The 23181-nt window shown below is 36.9% G+C and overlaps 1 protein-coding gene and 1 pseudogene across 14 annotated transcripts in view; both read left to right on the top strand.

Moving 5' to 3' along the window:
- TRPM3 (transient receptor potential cation channel subfamily M member 3) overlaps nucleotides 1-23181 on the top strand; it is a 917912-nt gene that overhangs the window by 512226 nt on the left and 382505 nt on the right. The window lies entirely within an intron of this gene.
- On the top strand, nucleotides 17231-17665 carry PIGUP1 (phosphatidylinositol glycan anchor biosynthesis class U pseudogene 1; annotated as a pseudogene).

The raw sequence follows: 23181 nt of genomic DNA, 5'->3' as shown, positions 1-23181 counted from the left end.
CAAAGATATTCAACTTTTAGCCTGAGAAATAAAGGAAATGTAGTTATACATGTTTTTTTGCCATAATGGCAAAATCTTGATTACTTTTGAATCAACCTAATATATATTTTATATATTTTCTGCTTAATCTTCATAACCCTGTAAGATCATATTTTGTTCCCATTTCATGGTGAGGAAACCGAGGCTAAGAACTGCTCATGGCAAAACAGGAATATGAACCTATGTCTAGCTGATTCCCAAGCTTATGTTTTTTCCCTATAACTCTTACATATGCTCATATTCTCCAGATTACAATGGATATGCAGCTACCATCTTTTTTCCTTTTCAGTCAGGGAGCAGTAGAGTCCCCATACTCAGGTTTTACCACATAACAGTCACATGAAAATCTCTCCTGTGGCATCATCAGACTGACCTTCCCATATCACAGAATGAACAATGCCACAACTCTTAGGCCACACCATTTTTTTCTTCTTCCTACCAACATCCCAAATTTTCTATGGAAATTGCTTCTCTGGGCTGTAACTCTGAAGATATTAAAATGCAACATGATGTAGATGGCCACTTAAATTATTATCAGCCATTCATTCCTAATTCATGTATCATACTTAAAGAATAGAGCCTTGAGATAACAGGATACAGAACTACTAAATGTTGATGGAGTAAGTTTAAAGAATGTCCTTGGCATGGTTGGTGCACATGAAGAGAATATGTCTAGGTGAGGTCACCAATTCTTCCAAGAGAAAATTGAACCCCTAAGATGGTAACTTCCTCAGCTTTCCACCACACCACAAAAAACCCTGCCTTCCTTTGCTCCTACCTTTTCCTTTCTGTCATAGGGAGCTCCCTTCCTCCTATCAAAGTCCAATCCTGTGCCTGGGTTTTAAGTTCTATACTTTTGCCCTTCTCAGGAACCCAACACTATAAGTTATGCCTTTTCTCTATACTAGATTCAACTTGTCTTTCCCAACCAGGGTTCTTCCCTTCAATATCTAAGTATGCTCCAGCTTCACACATCTTTAAACAAACGCATTAAAAAAAAAATCTCTTTTTAGGTCTTATATCCCCCTTCAGCTATGACTCTATCCCTGCCTTTTCCTTTGTAACAAAACTTTTGAAATCCTTGTCTGTTCTTGCCATCTCCTTTTCCACACCTCTACTGTCTCCTTAACTCATTCCAATCTGGTTTCATTCCACTCCATAGATGGCTCTCTGCCTAAATCTCCATGTCACTGAACTTGCTGGATGTTTTCAGCCCTCACTTCACCTTCTTGGAATGCTCTCTTTTCTTGGCTTCTATTTTCTACACTTATCTGGTTTTCTTCCCAGTTCTCTGGATACTTAAGCATTTTTGAAGGCTAATCCTTAAATGTTAGAGTTAAGTCTCAACCAAGATCCTATTCTCCTCTTACCCTTTACTCTCTGTCTGGGTAATCACATCTATACCCACCAATTTAGTTCCTATCTATAAACCAATGATTTCCAAATTTACTATCGCCACTCTGGACCCTTTTTCTAGGTCCGTATCACACACCCAACTGTCTCCTAGATATCTCTACCTTAATATCTCAGAGGAACCACAAACGTTGCAAACCCAGACTGAATGCATGATATTCTCAACTGAATCTTGATCTCTTCTAATCTTGTCTATCTCATTAAATGGTTTCATCTTTTATCTTGATGTAGAAACCAGAATCAGGGTCCTTTTTGAAACCATCCTCTCTTTTGCACCTCATACATCAACACATCATCAAATCTTACTGAAATTACCTCTAAAATATATCTCAAACCCACCTACTTCTCACCATCTCTTCTGTCATCAAAGTACCTCTAGCCTAAAGTATAAAAATGGCCTTTTATGGTCTTCTTACATTCACCATAGTTTTGCCTAAGATGTTCTACACTCAGCAGCCATAGTGTAACACCTCCACTTTCCACCACAAAAAAAGCCCTTCAGAGGCATCCTGTGGTTCCATTAGAATAGAGATCTGAGACCTTAATATGGGTCTGCATTTCTGGCTTTCTACTCCTGTAGAGTTAACGTGACTTCTTCAAGATCTTGCTTCCACCTGCTACAGTATCTGTGCACATGCTGTTTCTCTCAGCCTGTCAATCTCTTACCACTGCTATTGATATAACTCTTCTTTGGAAGAGTCAGCATTAGTCTAGGTCAAGATACATTGTTTGTGCTTTCTGGGCCTATTATCTTCCTTCAGAGAATTTTAGCTCAGACCTTAATTATTCATTCAAATACATGAATATTTACATGATGTCTGTCTCCATCATGAGATCTTAAGCTCCAAAGTAAGCAGGGAATGTGGCTGTTTTTGTTCATTATTGTATTCCCAGTGAGTAGTACAGTGCCTAGAAGATAAAACTACTCAATAGAAACTCAAGGAAGGCAGACAGGCAGGTGGACAGGCAAGCAGGCAGGCAGGAAGGCATTAGAGACTGTTTACGAAGGCCCTCTTCCCCACTCTCTTACTTTCCATCACAATCAGTCTAAAGAAAAAACAGTAGCTCCAAGAGGAAGGCTGGCAATAATGTAATGATAAAGCAAGGGTAGAGAGGCATATAAAGCAAATCTAAAATGCTCTCAGTTTTCCTCCAGGTCTAATCCTAGAGTCATCAAATGTTATGGTTTTCTTGCCAAATCCTCCCATAATCCCTCCATATTGTAGATTTATCGTCTGTGTCCTCCTTTGCTATTCCTGAGTCTACCTGGGACTCAGCACACACTGCTGTTGTCCTGTACCTTCCAAGAATGTTAGTACACTCGTGAATATATTTTGATAAACATGTGTTTTGAACAGCCAAGAGAAAATCCTTTAGCATTCAACATATTGGTAAAGCAACAAATGCCAGAGAATGCAGTTATGTGACTTCCTTAACTTCAAGGACTGAGTTTAGAAAGTCTTTAAACACCAATTATCAATTATATGCTCATAGTCTAGAAACACCCAAACACAAGTAAAAGTAAAACTTCAAGATTGATTATAAACTTTGATTTTAAAGTTTTGCGCTAATCCAAAAAGTATGAGTAGAATACTAAAAGATGTGTCATTTGGGGAAAATATCTCTCTCCAGAGACCAATTTTTTCTTTCTTTCTCTGATTATTTTTCTGTGCTGCAAAAGAATTATAGTACAAAAAAAAAAGAGTCAAATGGTGATCAATTCTAACTTTTACTTCTTTAAATTAAATATTTTATTCAAACTTCATTTTATTGTTTTTATTAGGAAGCTGGTGGGTATATATCTTTGTATACAACTCTATTTTCTGGGTTCTGTCTCCAATCAACTTCAGCCATCAAGAGGTCACATTTGTAAGACCGTTCTTATTTCTTAATTTTGAAGATAATTTTCTTGAAATGCACCCTGAATACACTGCTCTCAAAATTATATAACCTTTGTAATTTTTATTCTTGTTTCTTGACTGCACTCAGAAAATAAAAGTTTTTCAAATTTACTCTTGCATTTTCTCTAAATTCGAATTATACATTCCAAGTTATTCTTAAAACTTATGATTTATACATACATATAAATGCATTTACTATAAGGATAATTACCATTATGCCAGAAACCCTACCAAACATAAATCTGTGCAGAGCCTGAACATTGTCTCTTCAAAGTTGCGTTATTTACTGCTATCCTTATGTAACTCTTAAAAAGTAAGAAAAAATCTTTTCACTTTTCAAAACAAACAAAAAAAGCCACTCTTTAGAGAAAAATAAATATTATACTCCTCTAGCTAATGCGGAGTTTGGAAAATACAGTTATTGGAGGTCTCATTTTCTAATTTTTATCTGTATTTTTCCAGCCTTGATTATTACATTTGATAAATGTGAATATATATATTTATTTTTATTTTTTTCTCAGCCACTTTCATTTGCCCTGTTTTTCCTGTTCTCAACTAAACATGCTGCAAGGTTTTGTCTTCTTTTCAATGGACATTTAAAATAAACAGTGTTCTTGCCTTTACCAAAAGTATTTAAGGATATCACTTTTGATATTGAGGATAATTGAATTTGGATCATAATTTTATTACAAGAAAACAGCCATGCAGTCATGTTCCAAGACATCCATTGCTTCTTGATAACCCTACATCTTATGCCATAATGCCTGCTAATGTATCATTAATAAGACCACAGATCCAGTGTAGTACTCTATCCTTAACATTTTACTTATTGTGAGCCCAAATACTAAGATTCTGTGACTTAAATGTTAAGATTTAAATAAGTAAAACAAAGTAGGTCAATAATATGCATATTACATTTTTTATGATCAAAAGTCAATTGTAAGAAAAAGATAATGAAAGGTGATGAAAGGAAGTATAAAACTTCACCCAGATAAATAATTTTTATGACATGCTGAATCCTACTAACAGTTGCCAACACATAGATTATTATGTAATCTGCATTAAGTTGACAAGATAATTTCCTGAATTACTATTGTGAAAAAGATAATAATAAATAGCCACCATTTACTGCATGCTCTTAGTGTAAGGCAATATGCTAGGCACTTTACAAATATGACTATATTTCTAACTACTAAACTGAGCTTTTCCCATCCTACCTTTGCCTTCCACTGTCTCCTGTGGACCTCTTTATTTCTCCTACCACCCCCAAACAGATGGATGTAAAAACTGAAAGAGTGAGAAGCTCAAAACCTTGCACCCGAACTCCACTATTCACTACCATTAGGATTTGTGCTTTCTCTTTTTCCAGTCTCTGAACCTCATAAGTAAATTGGGAATAAAAATATCTATCTCATAAGAATTGTTGTGAAGAACCAATCATATTATGTACATCCACTGGTTGATACATAAGATTCCCCAGTTTCGCTGTCTTCTAACAGGCTGAAGAGCTGAAATTCTGAGGCCTAATTCTAATTTTGTATAGGGAATAGAGGCAGGGGTAAGGAGGAGGATAGCAAAAGTGCTCTAAAAAAGTAAAAACAAACAAAAACCTTTTTAAATATGTTCAAGCACTTACTGAGCTCTTGGTTCAGATCACAGTCCTGGTTAAGATCAATACTAGAAAGTATGGAGAAGTAATTTTTCCCTAACCATGTTAAGGATAGAGTTTACTGTTGCTGCTGTCAGCCAGGCTCAACTAGGATCCAGTAGGACATGTGATTTTAGATAGCACCATCCTCAAGGACTATCCAGAACATGTAACTTTGGAAAACACAATTCATGTGGCTTAAGCTCCAAAGATGTAAAAATAAATAAATAAATAAAATAATTTTAAAAAGGCCGGTGGGTCACGCCTGTAATCCCAGCACTTTGGGAGGCCGAGGTGGGCAGATCACTTGAGGTCAGGAGTTCAAGACCAGCCTGGCCAACATGGTGAAACTCCGTCTCTACTAAAAGTATAAAAATCAGCTGGGCATGGTGGCGGGCACCTGTGATCCCAGCTACTCGAGAGGCTGAGGCAGAACAATTGCTTGAACCCGGGAGACAGAAGTTGCAGTGAGCTGAGATTGCACCACTGCACTCCAGCCTGGGCAATAGAGTGAGACTTAGTCTCAAAAAGGAAAAAGAAAAAATTATATTTAAGAGATGAGGCAAAAAAAAAAAAAGTCAATGTTTAAGGTCTATTGTAATTAGCCAGCAACTGAATAAACCAAGAAACTACTTTTCACCATTTATGAGGATGGCTAGAACAACCAGGGTAATATAGAATCCTTTCTGCCTTGAACATGTGCTGAGTCTTCCCTGGATAATGGAGAAAGCCATGGAGGAAGACAGTAGCTGGCAGACTGGGAATCATAATAATTCTCATTGCACATCAAACTTTATGCTGTGTCAGGACAGGAACCAAGGGCCTTTTGTAGTTCCAGTTTGGTTGGAAGCTAAAGAAACCCATTCAAACTAGACTCTAGGTGGTGGCTAATTGTCAGCACAACCTTCTAGACAACCAAGAGCAAGGGCCAAGATCAGCCAGGCCTCTCATGAGTTTGCATGATGCCCGCTTCATCTTCTGTTCATACACCCATGTTATTCAACCACACCCCTCTGTACATCATGTTCCTCAGGGCCTCCTGATTTCTTCTCCTCCATGCCATCAGTGGCTCAGGTTGGTCATGATGTTTCTTTTGAATCCAGTCGAAAATGTTCAGGTGCCAGCTACAATGAAGTCAACAGAGAGGTCATCCCATGTTTATTGTCAATGTCACAAGAGTTCCAGGTGCTCCATATTGTCTCAACTATTTTGTGTGTGTGTGTGTTTAGATTAAATTGTCAAGAAAGACACCATAATTGGCTGTGCTCAACATTTAGATGGGTTCTCTTGGGATCAGGTTTCCACATTGATCTAACACTGTGGCCAGAGGGTCAAGATCACCTGTATAAAATCTGACTGTCCCTAGGATCACCCTTTTAGCAAGAACTGGAAAGAGAAGGCAATTTTTAGAAAGGAATTACGGGACATGGTCTGTTAAGACAAGTCTAAATGCCTGTAATAGAATGCATCCCTACAAATGCAATCCTACAGTGTATAAACTAGAGCTCATTACCTGCATTTCACAGATGAGGAAACTGAGACTCCAAGATATTAAAGGTCCTGCCCAATGTCACCCACTTCATAAGTCACGGAAGTGGCATTTGGCCCTAGATCTATCTCTCTGACTCCAACCCCATGCTCCTTTCATTTTTCCCTATTACCTAAATATCCAGATGGCCTACAAATATGGGAACAATTAGTTGGAAGTCACACAAACTAAGAAAGAAGTAAAATTTCCAAACTAGCCCCCATACTTCCAAGCAGTATATTTATTGTCTTGGAAATAAGACATGTCTTAGGAAAGCTTTTAATAAAAAATAAAGATTGCCTATAGGTGTTATTAGAAACTTAATTGGTGGGAAGTAAGAAAGCTGCATTGGAGCTGTGAATAGACAGGAGGCAGCTTAAACTGGGGAGAATGGACAACATTTAAACAGGAAAAGAGAGACCCAAATCAATTGTGCTTGCCTCTTAGTTTTGCCATAAATCACCCAGCCGGCAGGACCTACCAGATGCTGTGACTTTGCCAAACCTCTCTTTTGTGGGGTACAAAACAGGGCACTGCAGACTCTGTGCGCAGGCCTAAGAGAAATGCTAGAAGAGAAAATACAGGAGAAAAACATTCAGAAAGTCTTTGCAAATAGCAAAGACTACCAGCTGTTGGAAACTGGCAATCCAAGAGAGTTGATAGAACATTTTTTTCTCTCTTTCTCCATAAGAAAACCTTAATATGCTTTTCTAATTTATAAAATTACATTGGAAGATTTGGACATCTTTAAGTCTTTGCCAGTGCATTGAAATTCTTTTACCTTTTCTTATGCTGTGAATTTCCTGAAATTTTACCCATAGCTGTCTGACAGTAGCTTCGTGATGGCATTTACTAATACCATTCAAATAACATTCAACTGTGTCTTATCCATGGCTTAATGTATTTTGACCCTCTATGTCCAGAACATGAAAGTGTGAAAAGTAAATTTGAATTTCCATAAAAATTTAAGGAGACATAATCTCCAAACCTTCTATATAAGATAACATTCTCTAGCTTCCTCAGCTTCCCAGGAAAAGAGAACTAGAGTACAATAAACTCAGATTCAAAGGAATGGTAAATGGGAAAACATTTCAGTATGTTGGTAGTGACATATAGTATAAAACCTTGATAAATAAGACTTAGCTCTTCAACCATGACAGTCATGAAAACTTCTGGAATGAATTTTCATGTTACTTGAAATGGAATTTCCTTAGATATGGTGCATTTTCAGGTTAGAATTTAACCTTTAAACTAGAAATTTCTTGATTAAATTCAATGCCTGCCATGGGATGAGCTGTCAACACAGGCCTCCTCTGATTGGAAAATTTAGTGGACATGTTCTGCAGTGTGGATATTTACAATCTTAAATCTGCAAGGTTGCTGACACCTTTGAAAATTTAGTTTTTAAAATGCCTTCCCTGAGCACATGTAGCTCTGAGACTGTTACAATATGTTCAAGGAGCAAAACAGCCAAGTCCATCAGATGCATCTATGCAGAATACTAAATAATTAAAACAAATCTCAAGGCCTGCTTAAAAACAATAGGTTACAGAGAAATTGTTCTGTTTGTTAACTTCTATAATCGATAGCCAAGACTGGGATGTGAGTTAAATTATATTTCTTTGAAGCACTATTAGGTGAAGAAAAAGTTGTGTTTTTTTTCTGAGATGTTTTAAGATCTAAAGTAGTTCAACATTTGTTATATATCTTCCTCTTTTTCAAATGCCAAACACTTCCTTTTGAGAGAGCCACTTTTAATTTTTTTGTGCATCTCTCTATGAAATCACATGTACTTGTGATTTATACAAAAGGGTTCATGCATTAGTATCTCTGCATTATATGGCCACAAATTTTTACAGATAAATACAGATAACTTCACAGATAAGTATGTCAGTTTGGGCTGGACCTGAAATATTTTAAAAATATTGCTTATTCCAACTTTGGTTTGGGGGACACTTTGCTCTGAAGATCACACAAGCCTCCAAGCTCAGATTTATAATTTATTCCCATTTCTCATCAAATTTTACAAATTTGAGAGGACAACTATTGTAGGTCCTCTCCTTGCCAGTGTGATCAGTCTCTTAACCAGCAGCCTATGCATGGTTTATGGCCTTTTTGAAACATGGATGACTTTTCTATGTGGATGAGTGATAGTTGTTTGAGACTTGCGGATTGTGGATTGATTTTAAAGGTGGCTTTTGTTTGTTTTTTTTTTTTTTGTTTTCCCAAGCCAACCTTTTTCTTCTCCAGTCATGAGTGAATCACAATGTACCTTACTGAATCAGTCCTCATCTGGACTGATGCTCTTTTCAGAAAAGTTGGATTGGCCTTGTTTTCTCATTGTAAACATATTCTTAACCCAGGAAAGAGGATGTTCTCATCTAAGTCCTAATTGTGTTTGAGGGAACTACTAACCTGTATTGACAGTGAGAAATTTATCTCTCCCGCGCTGGCTGAAAGGAGATATTGTGTTTCCTCTTCTATATTAATATCAAATTATTTTGGAAAATGAGTCACTGCTGATACCCCAGCATATATATATAAAGATTGCCTATAGGTGTTATTAGAAACTTAATTGGTGGGAAGTAAGAAAGCTGCATTGGAGCTGTGAATAGACAGGAGGAGATATATATATATATTCCATATTCTGTGAATAGACAGGAGGATATATATATATATTTTTTTCCATATTCTACCAACATTTGTTCCATGATATTTACTGTAGAAGCAACACAGAATTTGTATGATGACTCATAATCTTTTATATCTACCTTGTTTAAGACCCACCTCTGACTCCCACAGCCTCCCTAAAACATTTACTTCTATGTCTCCAGGAAAAAAGTCTAGTGTAATACATCATTGCGGTAGGGTGGTGATTCATTATTTATTTGTTATCAGTACTCTCGAACACACATTGTTTCCATCAATACTGAGCAAAGATTGGTTTTATGTTTGAGCAATTTTAATAATACCAATGTGCAAAGTAGACTTCGTTGAACGCCCTTAAGCAACCTGGCTCAAATCAATCAAAAGTTATCATTTGCTGTGTAGCATTTAAATGTTGGAAAAACAGCACCATCTGCTGGAAAGGGGCAGGTAGGGCTATACATGTTAGCCAAGTACTGGAGAATGTGAAAGCCAAAACTCTTGACTGACTCAAGTGAGTCCGTGCATATCCATGTTCATGCAATTCACGTTATGAAATGGCAATTGTGTACGGTTCAGTGGAAAGAGCGCAGAATGAAAGCTGGCTTCTGGCTTAGGTTCAGCGATCATCATCTTCTCCTTCTCCTTTTCTTTCTCCTTCATCTTGAAATCTGTGTAACCTTGTAGAAATTACTTCTTGAAAATAAGAGTTCTTAGATGGTTGTTGGGGGTAAGGTGAGTATAGCACCTGAACTTTCTACCTTGTATTAGTCAGCTAGAGAATGGTTATTAAAGTACTTAACATTCACAAATCATATCAGGACTATAAGGCTTACGTATTAGTGTTAACATGTCAAATTTTAGCTTAGCGCAAAAATATGGTAGAAACCGAGCTGGCCTGACGAGTATTCTAATATGCTGCCAGAGAGACTGTTAATCGTGAAAGCAATTTGGCAACAAGACGAAGAGCTTTAAAAACATTCATTTGGTTTGACTCAGTCATTGTACTTCTAGGAATCCATCCAAAGAAAATCATTAGAGAAATGAAAATAGATTTATGGTCAAGAATGTTCATACCAACATTATTTAATGATGTTGAAATACTGGAAATGGAACTGATTGTCATCAGTAAGGAGTATTAAATAAGTCACATGATAAACTGTTGTACAGCATTAAATTCATGCTTTGAAGAATAATGATATGAAGAAATATTCACAATATAATTGTAAGTAAAAAATAAATAGTATATGGAAGTAGATGACCAGTGTGACTATAATTTTGGGAGGAAAGAGGAATCAAGGAAGGAAATAAATATTGGTATTATATCAGCCTTGTTGCTATTTGGGGCCATATAAGTCTTTGTTGGGTATGTGGGGGCTTTTCTGTGCATTAGATGATGTTTAGCAGCATCTCTGGCCTCTAGCCAAATGTCAGCAGCACCATTTCACCCACAAGGAACAACCAAAAATGTCTGCAGACATTGCCAAATGTCCTAGACGGGAGACAGCAAAATTGCCCTCAGTTGAGAACCAATGTTCTAAAGGAAAACAGCACAAAGATATATATATATAGATAGATAAATAGATAGATAGATTGTGTGTATATATATATGTGTGTGTGTGTATATATATATGTATATATGTGTGTATATATGTATATATGTGTGTGTGTATGTATATATGTGTGTGTGTATATATATGTATATATATATATGTGTGTGTGTGTGTATATATATATATATAGAGAGAGAGAGAGAGAGAGAGAGAGTGTGTGTGTGTGTGTGTGTTATTTGTGTTGCCAGTATTACTCGGCCAAGCTGGATGAATAAGCTAGTTAATAGGAATCAAATGGACAGCTTTCAGAGTAACTCACTGGCTCTCCAGGGTCTTGCCTAAAGCAAGTTCTTAGGAAACACATTTGACAACTGGCAAGAAAAATTCATAGGAAATACAAAGATTTTCTGACACATGACCCTTAGGAATCTAGGCAGTTTTCTCCTTGTATTAATGGCATTACTTTATATCCAATTCTTGGTAAAATAGTTACTTTTTTTCTTCTTTGTAATTTCTCTATTTTTGTATTTTTCTACAATTAACATAAATTCATTTGTTATTAAAAAAATTAAATACATTTTAAGAACCCCCATGGGAGAGGCTACAAAGCAAATTTTGTAATCCTATCTAGTGTTCTGTTGTAATCTTGACGGATTTTATCCTCTCTATATATCCTCCCATCATCCCAAAATAGGACAAAACCTGCAAAATTGCAGTTTTGTGAACAGGTATTAAAAAGTATAAAACGTGAACATGAACATGTATTAAAAAGTGTAAAACGCCATGAAGATGAACACACAGTTATTTTAAGCGACATTTGCTTTCAGGTTTTTTAGGCTTTTTTTGTTTTTATTAACTAGTTCATCTAAATGTTTACAAAAATTAATAAACCAGGTAATTTATGGGTTCCACTTCATTGCCCCTGGATAGGCGCTATCTTTTATAATAGGCCCAATAGTCCACTCCATTTGGAAAAACCAAAGTCGGAAAGATCAATGGCTTTTTCTCTTGGTGGCCATTACTTTTGATACGTGGATCAATTACACTGTTTCAGATGATCTCATAGCAGATGAGCTTTTGTGGAACATGTTTACAGAGTCTCTTCTCTTTTCTCAGGCCCCAAATATTACATTCTATATAACATGCTGGTTACCTGCAAAATCTCCTTTTGAAAAATAACCTCTTTGGAGACCCAAGCTCAATATGTGGAAAGAAAACGAGACTGAGACCACTTAGCTGCACTACAATAACTGAAATCAAATAAAAATGAGTAAGCTCTTTCTCTTTCCAATTCTTTGAAATGAAATTTTCTTACCAGTGGAGTATCAGTGTATGAAGGTTTAGCCACAAGCCAAGTCAAAGGAACTGTAATAAGTTCTGAAAGAAATGATTTAGTAGGAAAATGGTAATCAAAGAAAAGTATTCTGTATCTTCAAATAGTGGCAGAAAGGATATCTGCAGAAGACCTGCAGAGGTACAAAAATGTCAAGGCTGCCTTTCTGCTATTTAAAGTCCATTTTTAACAGCTTTATGAAGATATAAATTATATAACATTAAATTAGTTCATTTTGAGTGTGCAATTCAATAATGTTTAGGATATTTACAGAATATGCAATTGGCACAACAGTCGAACTTCTTTTTGAGGCCTGGCATATTTGATGGTCCAAGTCAAACCTTAATGACATAATGCATGGGAACATATATGTGTGGCTGGGGACAGGATTTGTGGGGAGGGGTGATATTGTTCAGAGTTCAATCTCTTTGGCCAAGAAATGATAAAAAAGGAATGTAGTTAGTACAAAAGTGGAAAATGCCTACGTTTCTGAGGTTCATATGTCAGAAAAATGGTTGTTCAATCTATGCACAGATATGTGTCTCCTATGAGTTATTCTTGTCAGCTGTCAAATCCACTTCCCAAGAACTTCTTTCAAGCAAGACCCTAGAAAGAGAATGAGTTACTCTCAAAGTTCTACATTTGATTCTTATTACCAGCTTATTGATCCAGCTTGGCTTAGTAATGTAGAACCACAAAAATAACTATATGTGTGTGTGTGTGTGTGTGTGTGTGTGTGTGTTTGTTTGTGTGTGTGTGTGTGTGTATAGTGGCTGCCAACCCATCTTAAAGCTCCGTTGGGAAATTATCTTCTTCTAAGCTAATTCATGTGGTTGTTGGCAGCATTCTGTTCCTTGAGGACTGTTGGGAAGAGGCCGCTCTCTGTTCCCTGACATGTGGGCCTCTCTATATAGCAATCCGTGACATGGTGGCTTGCTTCATCAAAGTGAACAACAGAAAAGAACCAGAGAGAGAGAGAACATGCACAAGAACGGAGAAATGGGTCTTTGTGTTAGAAGTGTAGTCACTCTCTGTACAACCTTCCCTCCTAGAGACACGTATCAAACTCTTTGAGCTACTTAGAGACTCACTTGAGTCTAAAACTTCACTAAGGGAGTAACAACCTCTTCTCCCCAGTGGAGAAATGTCATAGCACTTCAGCACTCTCTCACCAAATATTCTGTTTCCTGGACTATTCAAGGTTGTGGAAGTGAAAGGCCTGGCTAATGCTAATAGCACTAGTTTGTAGCTTTCCTCTTTGTGAATCTCACATGGATGAGTTAGCATTTTGCTATACAATGTGAAGTGAGTAAGCAATTAGGTATGGTTCAGCCTTTAGGCCTCAGCAAAGCCGAGACACAAAGTACTCTGTTTGAATATCCTATTACCCTTTAATCTAAAGGCAGTACAAAACAGAGAAGCAGGTTATAAAATTTTATTTAAATGTGCTGTGGAAAACATAAGTAAAAATGAGAACTGTGGTAAAACTGGAAGGGAGAGAACAGAACAACCTGTGTAGAGAAGAACAGTCATTTGTTTGATGAAGAACAAAATAGGCAAGGAATGAAGAGGACGTGAGCATGAGATAAATGAATCTGCTTGTTAACCAAAAACCAGAGTGGGAGCAATCAAACATTTTTAGAGGGACCAACAGAAGGCAGTTGAAAACTAGGAAGTTTTAGAGTAAAAAAGATATATAGACACCAAAGGAAAATATGTATATTTGTTTGGCAACATTCCTCTGGTCAGTAGTGACTAGGAATATTTAATTGAGAGTATGCAACCGGTATTTGAAGATTCTGCTAAAAATGAATGCCTAATATTGGTCTACAACAAAATTATGATCAGTTTAGTTATGATCAGTTAAAATTATGATCAGTTAAAATAAGAAATAAGGATAATATAGTAAGCTTTTCATATTGATTCCATTTAAAGTACTATCTTCTTTTGGCATTATATCTTTCCTATTTGTGAGTTTTAATATTTCCTTTTATTTATGAAATAATGTGAAGTATAGATGTTTCATTATTCATGCTGGGAGTTTCATGTGATTTCCTCTTAATCCTCAAGGATTCTTTTTGATGGTGCATTCCATCACTTTTTCATAATAATGAGTATGTCGTTTTGGGAGAATATAGAGTGACCAAAATCTGTTATTTTAGCTCCATGTTAAAGAGTTCTGATTAGAAGTTTGGTAGAGGGGACTAAAGTGCCAAAGTTGTTGACATTTTAAAATGGTCTGTCATTTTCCACAGTTTCTTTTCTTTTTATTTTATTATCACATTTCATTATTTCTATGTCATTACCACAGCAAAAACCTAATAGACTTTTCAAAGCACTGACCCACCCACTAAGCAATGAAACAAAATTTTATGAAGCAAGGCACACAGACATTGTGAGGAGTGCAAATACAAACAGGGCACAGTTGTTGCCTTCAAGAAGCTTCTAGTCAAATGAAGAAGAAAGACTTTTATTCCAAAAATGGTTTGCTGAATTCCTACTGCATATCAAATATTGAAGATGAAGTAATAAAAAAAGACTGGTCCTTAGCCTTTTGAGGTAATCATAAAATACTGAACATTATCTACAGTAAATGTCTCTGTTCTGTCAGTTTTCTTTCCCTAGCCTCCCCATTGGACTTGATGCCTAAATAAGAGAAAACTACCTATATTCTTGAAGATCAATTTAGTAAACTGCAGGGAGGGTCTATTCCCTACTTTTGACCACACTTATATGGGAATATCTGCATTGATTGATGGACAGATGGGCCCCAAGTTAGACTTTCCCAAATAAATATCAGGCAAGAGCATACGCAAATAAAATATAAGGTAGAATATAGTAAGGGAATGAACAAAATATCATAGGAGTATGGTGGGATGGAAGATTTTTTTTTTTTTTTTGAAATGGAGTTTCACTCTTGTCACCCAGGCTGGAGTGCAATGGCGTGATCTTGGCTCACTGCAATCTCCACCTCCCAGGATCAAGAGATTCTCCTGCCTCAGCTTCCCAAGTAGCTGGGATTATAGGCACCCACCACCACGCCCAGCTAATTTTTGTATTTTTAATAGAGACAGGGTTTCACCATGTTGGCCAGGCTGGTCTCCAACTCCTGACCTCAGGTGATCCACCCACCTTGGCGTCCCAAAGTGCTGGGATTACAGGTGTGAACCACCGTGCCTGGCCAGGATGCAAGATTAATTCTGCTGAGGAAAGTGATGAAAATGATTATGTTTGAGCTAACCTTCAAGAAGGTAACAAATATACATTAAGAGATTGGGGTTGTGGAGAAAGCCCTTCCAGGCTGGGGCAGAGTATTCCTAATGGCAAAGTCACTTGCTGAGGCAGGGCACATTTCTAGGACAAGGCTCAGTTTGACTGACTGTACCATCAGGTGCCAAAGAAGAGAAATGAAAAGTTCAACTAGAAAGGGGATTCTAATCAGGTGACAGAGGAGAGCCTTGATTTCCATGCTAGGCAGTTGGGACTTTGTTTCTTAACAAATCAACATCTAATAGAAGATTTTTTACTGAGGGTGAAAATCTGGTGCTTTAGGAAAAGTATTCTTTTAACAGGACAGGGAATAGGATGAATTGGAAAGAGGGGAGACAGGGAGAGGGGCACAGACACCTCTATTAGGATGTAATGAGTAATGGGTAATGAGGCCTGAGGAAAGAGAGGAGATTCTGTAAACATGTTCTGCAAAACTTATCTGCTATGAGATCATCTGAAACAGTGCAATTGACCCACTTATCAAAAATAATGGCCACCAAGAGAAAAAATGATTGATCTTTCTGACTCTGGCTTTCCCAAATGGAGTAGACTATTGGGCCTATTATGTTTATTTTTTTAAAAAAAATAAGTTTCTATTCCATTGATCTTTTGTATTGTTCGTTTCAAGATCAGTTATTTCTGCTCTGATCTTTATTATTTCTTTTCTTCTACTAATTTTGGGTTTGCTTTGCTCTTACTTTTCTATTGCTTTAAGATGCATTGTTAGGTTGTTTATTTGAAGTTTTTCTTCTTTTTTGACATAGGCGTTTAAAGGTATAAATTTCCCCCTTAGTACTGCTTTTGCTGTATCCCACAGTTTTTGGTATGTTGTGTTGCATTATAATTTGTTTCAAGAAATTTTTTAATTTCCTTCTTAATTTCTTCATTGACCCACTGGTCATGCATATTGTTTAATTTCCATGTATTTGTATAGATCCCAAAATTCCTCCTGCTATTGATTTCTGGTTTTATTTCATTGTGGTCAGGGAAGATGCTTAATACTATCTCAACTTTTTTTAATGCCTTAAGACTTGTTTTGTGATCCGACATATAGTTTATTCTTGAGAATGATCCATGTGTTGAGGAGAAGAATGTGTATTCTACATCCATTGGATGAAGTGTTCTGTAAGTATCTATTAGATCTATTTGGTCTATAGTGCAGAACTAAGTTCTGTGTTTCTTTGCTGATCTTCTTTCTGAGTGATCTGTCTAATGCTAAAAGTAGGGTGTTGAAATCTCCAGCTATTATTGTATTGGGGTCTATCTCCTTAGCTCTAATAATCATTGCTTTATATATCTGTGTGCTGCAGTGTTGGGTGCAAATATATTTACAATGGTTAGATATCATTACATAGTTACCTACTTTGTCTCTTCTTACCACTTTTGTCTTGAAATCTATTTTGTCTGATATAAGTATACCTACTCCTGCTCTCTTTTTTTTTTCCTTTGGCATGAAATATCTTTTTCCATCCCTTTATTTTTAGTCTGTGTGTGTCTTTATAGGTGAAGTCTGTTTCTTGTAGGCAACAGATCATTCGATCTTGTTTTTTTTATCCATTGAGTGACTCTATGTCTTTTGATTGGAGACTTTAGTCCATTTACATTCATTGTTGTTATTGATGAGTAAGGACTTACTCCTACCACTTTATTATTTGTTTTCTGCTTGTTTTGTAGTCTTCTCTGACTTCTTTTCTTCATTCCTGTTTTCCTCTTAATAAAGGTGATTTTCTCTGGTGATGTGATTTAATTTCTTGCTTTTTATTTTTGTGTATTTACTCTGTTTTGGATTTGAGGCTACCATAAGACTTGTGAATCTATAGTATAAGCCATTATTTTAAGTTGATATAACAACTTAACACTGTTTGCGTAAAGAAGAAAACAAAGCTGCGTGCCCGCCCCAGTTATCGTGGTGGCTCCCTTGGCCCTGGTGCTGGTGGTGGCAGTGACAGTGCGGGTGGCCTTGTTCCACTCCAGTCTGGCCGAGTTCATTTCTGAGCAGGTGGAGGTGGTGTCCCCACTGAGCTCTTGGAAGAGAGTGGTTGAAGGCCTTTCACTCTTGGACTTGGGAGTATCTCCATATTCTGGAGCAATATTTCATGAAACTCCATTAATAATATACCACTTTCGCTTCCTAATTGACTATGCTGAATTGGTGTTTATGATAACTGATGCACTCACTGCTATTGCCCTGTATTTTGCAATCCAGGACTTCAATAAAGTTGTGTTTAAAAAGCAGAAACTCCTCCTAGAACTGGACCAGTATGCCCCAGATGTGGCCGAACTCATCCGAACCCCTATGGAAATGTGTTACATCTCTCTGAAAGTGGACCTGTTGCAGTGCTTTCCTCAGTGCTATTTTTCTTGCCTTAGCGACATACCAGTCTCTATACCCACTCACCTTGTTTGTCCCAGGACTTCTAACTCCTCCAGGCAATTATACCAGATTGTTCACTAGAAAGCCTAAGCCAATTTGCAGTGCCACCATCAGTATCTAAAGAGAAGTGAACCACTTGCCTCCCCATCTGCCAGCACTGACTTTTCAAGTTTGATTTATGATTGCCAGTTCAGTAGATGTATCACCATACTGTGAAGTTATTTTGCTTTGATTTTTTCTATATTCTTGCTGAGCTGAAGCATTTTTCCATATAACAAAGTGCTGCTTGTATTTTCTTTCTTATTTCCTATTTATGGCTTATTCTTTAGAAAGTCTAAGCACTAAGAATATATATAGCCAGACTTTTTATACAACTATATATCAAATAAATAATATAGTATATTTATTCATACACATGAATGGACCAGAAATTTAAAAATGGTTTCTGAGCTTATCCACCCTGCAAAAAATGAGTGAGTAAATAAAAATGGTTTCAAGAAAAAGAAGCAAAAACTAATAGAAACTCTACACCTTAACTTTGTGCCCCCCACTTTTTAACTTTTTGTTGTTTCTATTTATACCTTACTGTACTCTACTGTCTTGAAAAGTTGTTGTAGTTATTATTTTTGATTGATTCATCATTTAGTCTTTCTACACAAGAGTTTACATACCATAGTTACAGTTTTATAATATTCTATATTTTTCTGTGTACTTACTATTACCAATGAGTTTTGTACCTTCAGATGATTTCTTATTGCTCATTAATGTCCCTTTCTTTCTGATTGACTTATTCCCCTGGCATTTCTTGTGGAACAGGTCTGGTGTTGATGAAATCCCTCAGCTTTCATTTGTCTGAAAAAGTCTTTATTTCCCCTTCATGTTTGAAGGATATTTTTGCTGAACATACTATTCTAGGGTGAAAGCTTTTTCTTCCTTCAGCACTTTAACTATGCCATGCCACTTTCTCCTGGCCTATAAGGTTTCCACTAAGAAGTCTCCTGCTAGACATATTGGAGCTCCACTATATGTTATTTGTTTCTTTTCTCTTGCTGCTTTTAGTATTCATTCTTTATCCTTTACCTTTGGAAGTTTGATTATTAAATGCCTTGGAGTAGTCTTCTTTGGATCAAATCTGCTTGGTGTTCTGTAACCTTCTTGTACTTGGATATTGACCGATATCATTCTTTAGGTTTGGGAAGTTCTATGTTATTATCCCTTTCAATAAACTTTCTACCCCATCTCTTTCTCTACTTCCTCTTTAAGGCCAATAACTCTTAGATTTGCCTTTTTGAGGATATTTTCTAGATCTTGTAGGCTTGCTTTATTGTTTTTTTTTTCTTTTCTCTCATCTGACATGTATTTTCAAATAGCTTGCCTTCAAGCTCACTAATTCTTTCTTCTACTTGATCAAGTCTGCTATTAAAAGACTCTCATGTGGCCAGGCGTGGTGGCTCATGCCTGTAATCCCAGCACTGTGGGAGGCCAAGGCGGGCAGATCACAAAGTCAGGAGATCAAGACCATCCTGGCTAACACGGTGAAACCCCGTCTCTACTAAAAATAAAAAAAAAAAAAAAATTAGCCGGGCATGGTGGTGGGCGCCTGTAGTCCCAGCTACTTGGGAGGCTGAGGCAGGAGAATGGTGGGAACCCAGGAGGTGAAGCTTGCAGTGAGCCGAGATTGGGCCAGTGCACTCCAGCCTGGGCGACAGAGTAAGACTCTGTCTCAAAAAAAGAAAAAAAAAGACTCTGATGCATTTTTTAGCTCCAGAATTTCTCCTTGATTTTTAAAAATTATTTCAATCTCTTTGTTAAATTTGATAGAATTCTGAATTCCTTCTCTGTGTTATCTTGAATTTATTTGAGTTTCCTCAAAACAGCTATTTTGAATTATTTGTCTGTAAGGTCACATATCTCTGTTTCTCTATGATCTTATTTGGTTCATTTCATGAGGCCATGTTTTCTGGGATGGCCTTGATATTTGTGGATGTGTGTATGTATCTGAGCATTGAAGAGGTAGGTATTTATTGTAGTCTTCAGAGTTCAGGCTTATTTGTACCCATCCTTTTTGGGAAGGCTTTCCAGGTATTCAAAAGGACTTGGGTGTTGTAATCTAAGCTATATCTTCATTAGGAGGCACCCAGTAACAAAGTCCAGTAACACTGTAGTTCTTGCAAACTCATGGAGGTACTGTCTTGATGGTCTTGGACAAGATCTGGAAAAATTATCTGGATCACTAGGCAGAGACACTTGTTCTCTTCCCTTACTTTTTCCCAAACAGTGTCTCTTTCTCCGTTCTGAGTCACCTAGAGCTGAGGGTGAAGTGACACAAGCACTCCTGTGACCACCAGCACTAGGACTGTGCTGGGTCAGACCTGAAGCCCATTCAGCACTGAGTCTCACTCAAGGCCTGCTGTAACCACTCCCTAGCTGTCTCCTATGTTTGCTCAAGGACACTGGACTCTGCATTGTCATTATTCAGTAGTAACTCCATGCCCTTTAATTATCACACTACACGTCTGTTCTGCTTCAGCGTCCATCACTGCAGGGATTTTCTTTTGGCACATCATATGATCTCTCATTGTACCTCCAATGACTAAGAAATACATATCATGGTGTGTTCTAGTGTTTTCCTGCTGCTTTAACAAAATACCTTAGAATGAATAATTTATAAACAACTTATTTCTCACAGTTCTGGAGGCTGGGAAGTCCAAGATCACAGTGCCAGAAAGTTCAGTGTATTGTGAGGAATCTCTGCTTCCAAAATAGCACGATGTTCCTGTGTTCTCACATGACAGAAGGGGCAAATGCTGTGTCCTCACATGGTGGAAAAGAAAAAGGGATGAATGCTATGTGAAGCCTCTTTTATATGGGCATTAACTCCATTCATGAGGAAGGAGCTCTCATGACCTAAATATTACCTCCAAAAGGACCTAACCTCTTAATACTGTTGGATTGAGGGTTAGATTTCAACATATGAATTTTGAAAGGACACACATTCAAACCATAGTGTGGTATTTATCGGCTGTCATTGAAGGCTGTGATCTAAGTTATTTTGCCTGGAAAACATGGAAAGGGGTCAATACCTTCATTTCTTTATTCTTTGACCTGATCTTTTCTATAACCAGTAGAATATTTCAGTGCAATGGAGTTTAGGCGAGGTCTGTGGCCATCATGCAGAGGAAAGGAAGAACCTGTATGCTTAGCAATTTTTATGTTTTCAAGACTAATGGACAAGCCAGTATTTTACTCCTGGAAGAACATACAGAGAGAGACATTGAGTTGCTCAGAGTATTACAGAGACAGAAATATAGATTTAAGACAAAAAAAAATTCATCCATTAGTCAAGTCCAGTCTGGTGGTTTTTTTCTGGTAAGACTGGGCATCATGAATGATCCTCTAGAACATTTAGTACTTGATAATACTAAGATATTTATTCATTTAAATAATTGTTGGTTGTTTTTGTCTTTTCCTGCTATAGAAACTCTTGCATATTTTAGCAGCAGCTTTTCCCTCTGGTAGTTTTGAACTTGGACATTATAAACAAATGTGTGTGAACTTGATGGCCTTCCTTTCTGTTTAATATCTATCTCTAAACTTCTTTCAATTGTGGCAGTGATAAGTATGAAACCTAGGGGAACAATGATCCTGGCCAATGCAATGAAAAAGAGGTCACTACACTGCACTGATTAGAGTACTGATTTTTGACCCCCAGGGACTATGAAAATGCTGTAAAGCATTTCTGGGTGAACTAAATAAGACCATTGGGATACCTCTGCGTACGGGTAGAATTGAAAGTTTATACCTCAGAATGATGTCAGAGGAACAGAGCCCAGGAAAGCAAAATCAAATATTATGGAAGACAGTTCATCACAAATTTGGAAAAGAAAACAAAATGTTGTATCTACTATTTTGGGTAGAATTGGGTTCAGCAATTTTGCTATTAGAGATGGTACATACAAGCCCTGTTCTACATTTATAGGTTGCCTAATTAATTTTATTTTACAAGCATACATCTCATAGATTGGGTACTTACTTATCTAAGTGGGTTCCTTGGAAAGAATGGATTTCAGAGAAGGAGAAAACTGTTGGGAACGATGTAAATGTACATTATCATTATAGTGATAATGTCATGTTTATATATGCATGTTAAGCCTCATCAAATTATATATTTTGAATATGTGTAGTTTATTGAATGTCAATTGTACCTCAATAGCATTGTAAATGGTGAGAGAGAGAAAGAGAGAGGCAAATCTAAAATACCATGAAATGTGCCTGCCAGAGTGTTGGTTTCCAATATATTTTAGTTTGCTTCTCTTCTCATCATGTATTGTGTTTTCCAGGCTTTCTCTTCAAGTCTGTTTTCTCAAGCACTTGTTAAGGATCAATATCCACATTTGTTTTGACTTCTCATAGGCTGCTCCTTTCCTAAATATGTTTGATTTTAAGATAAGCTACCCAAACATGTTTTCACATTTCCTTACTCTCCTCACTTTCCTTATCTACTATCAGCACTATCTGAGAAGCTAGGCTAAGAATAATTCTAATTTGTTTTAACTGGTTATGCTTACCTCACTTTAACAAGTCCATGAGGCAGCTACTCAGAACATCATCTTAGGAGAGTTGTTTTTACTTCTTTATCAGATGTCAAAATTATTTTTCCCAAACATAATGTTTGATCCATAAAAGGGCTGTTTTGTTCTGCAATTTTTAACTGGGAAGTTGTTTAGCCTTTAGCCAATATTCTTAACTTCATACCTTTGCGGGGAAAAAACACTAAGTGAGAATTATAAAGTGCCTGGAACACTAAAAATCAATATTATGATTCTTGGAGAAGATTACATTTATCCTTTTAAATATTTATTTGCCCCTTCTTTCTTTTCTTTGACTTCTCCTGTCTATACTGGCCACAAAACTGTCTTCAAAACTATGCACAGATTGAGACACTCATGAAGGAATCCACACTGATTATTTTGACCCATAGTTACTCTTTTCTTTCTTTAGACATCCTTCTGTTGCCTGAGGTAGCAGCCAACTGCCTCCTTCCAGGCCCTCAATCCTCATTCCTGGCTACTGAGCCACTCTTTATCCAGGTCAAGTCCAGCCATTGCCAGAAGGAGAGAACGGACAATGACATAGGGGAAAGTTTGCATTAATTCTAGGGAGGCAAATGGGAAGATATGATTGGGTATGATGAGGCTTATTAGAAGGATGCTGTTGTAATGCAGCAAGAAAAAATCAAGACATGAACTAAAGCAGTTGTATTGGTAACAGGGACAAACAGGAGAAAACAGATTTGAGACATATTTAGAAACTAGAATCAGCAGGACTAGGTGACCTTTAGATAATGAGTGGGAAAGTGAGTATCAGAGGGGAGGCTACTGACATACAGATTTCCATTTTAATCACTAATAAATTCATGATGGTGATGTTCATTGATAAAGAATATACATGAGGCAGGTTTTAGTAGAATGTCATG

Source organism: Homo sapiens, chromosome 9 (assembly GCF_000001405.40).
Source record: "Homo sapiens chromosome 9, GRCh38.p14 Primary Assembly".
In the NCBI taxonomy this organism is placed as follows: Eukaryota; Metazoa; Chordata; class Mammalia; order Primates; family Hominidae; genus Homo; species Homo sapiens.
The sequence above is the reverse complement of the archived record's forward strand: the minus strand, read 5'-3'. Positions and strand labels throughout refer to the sequence as shown.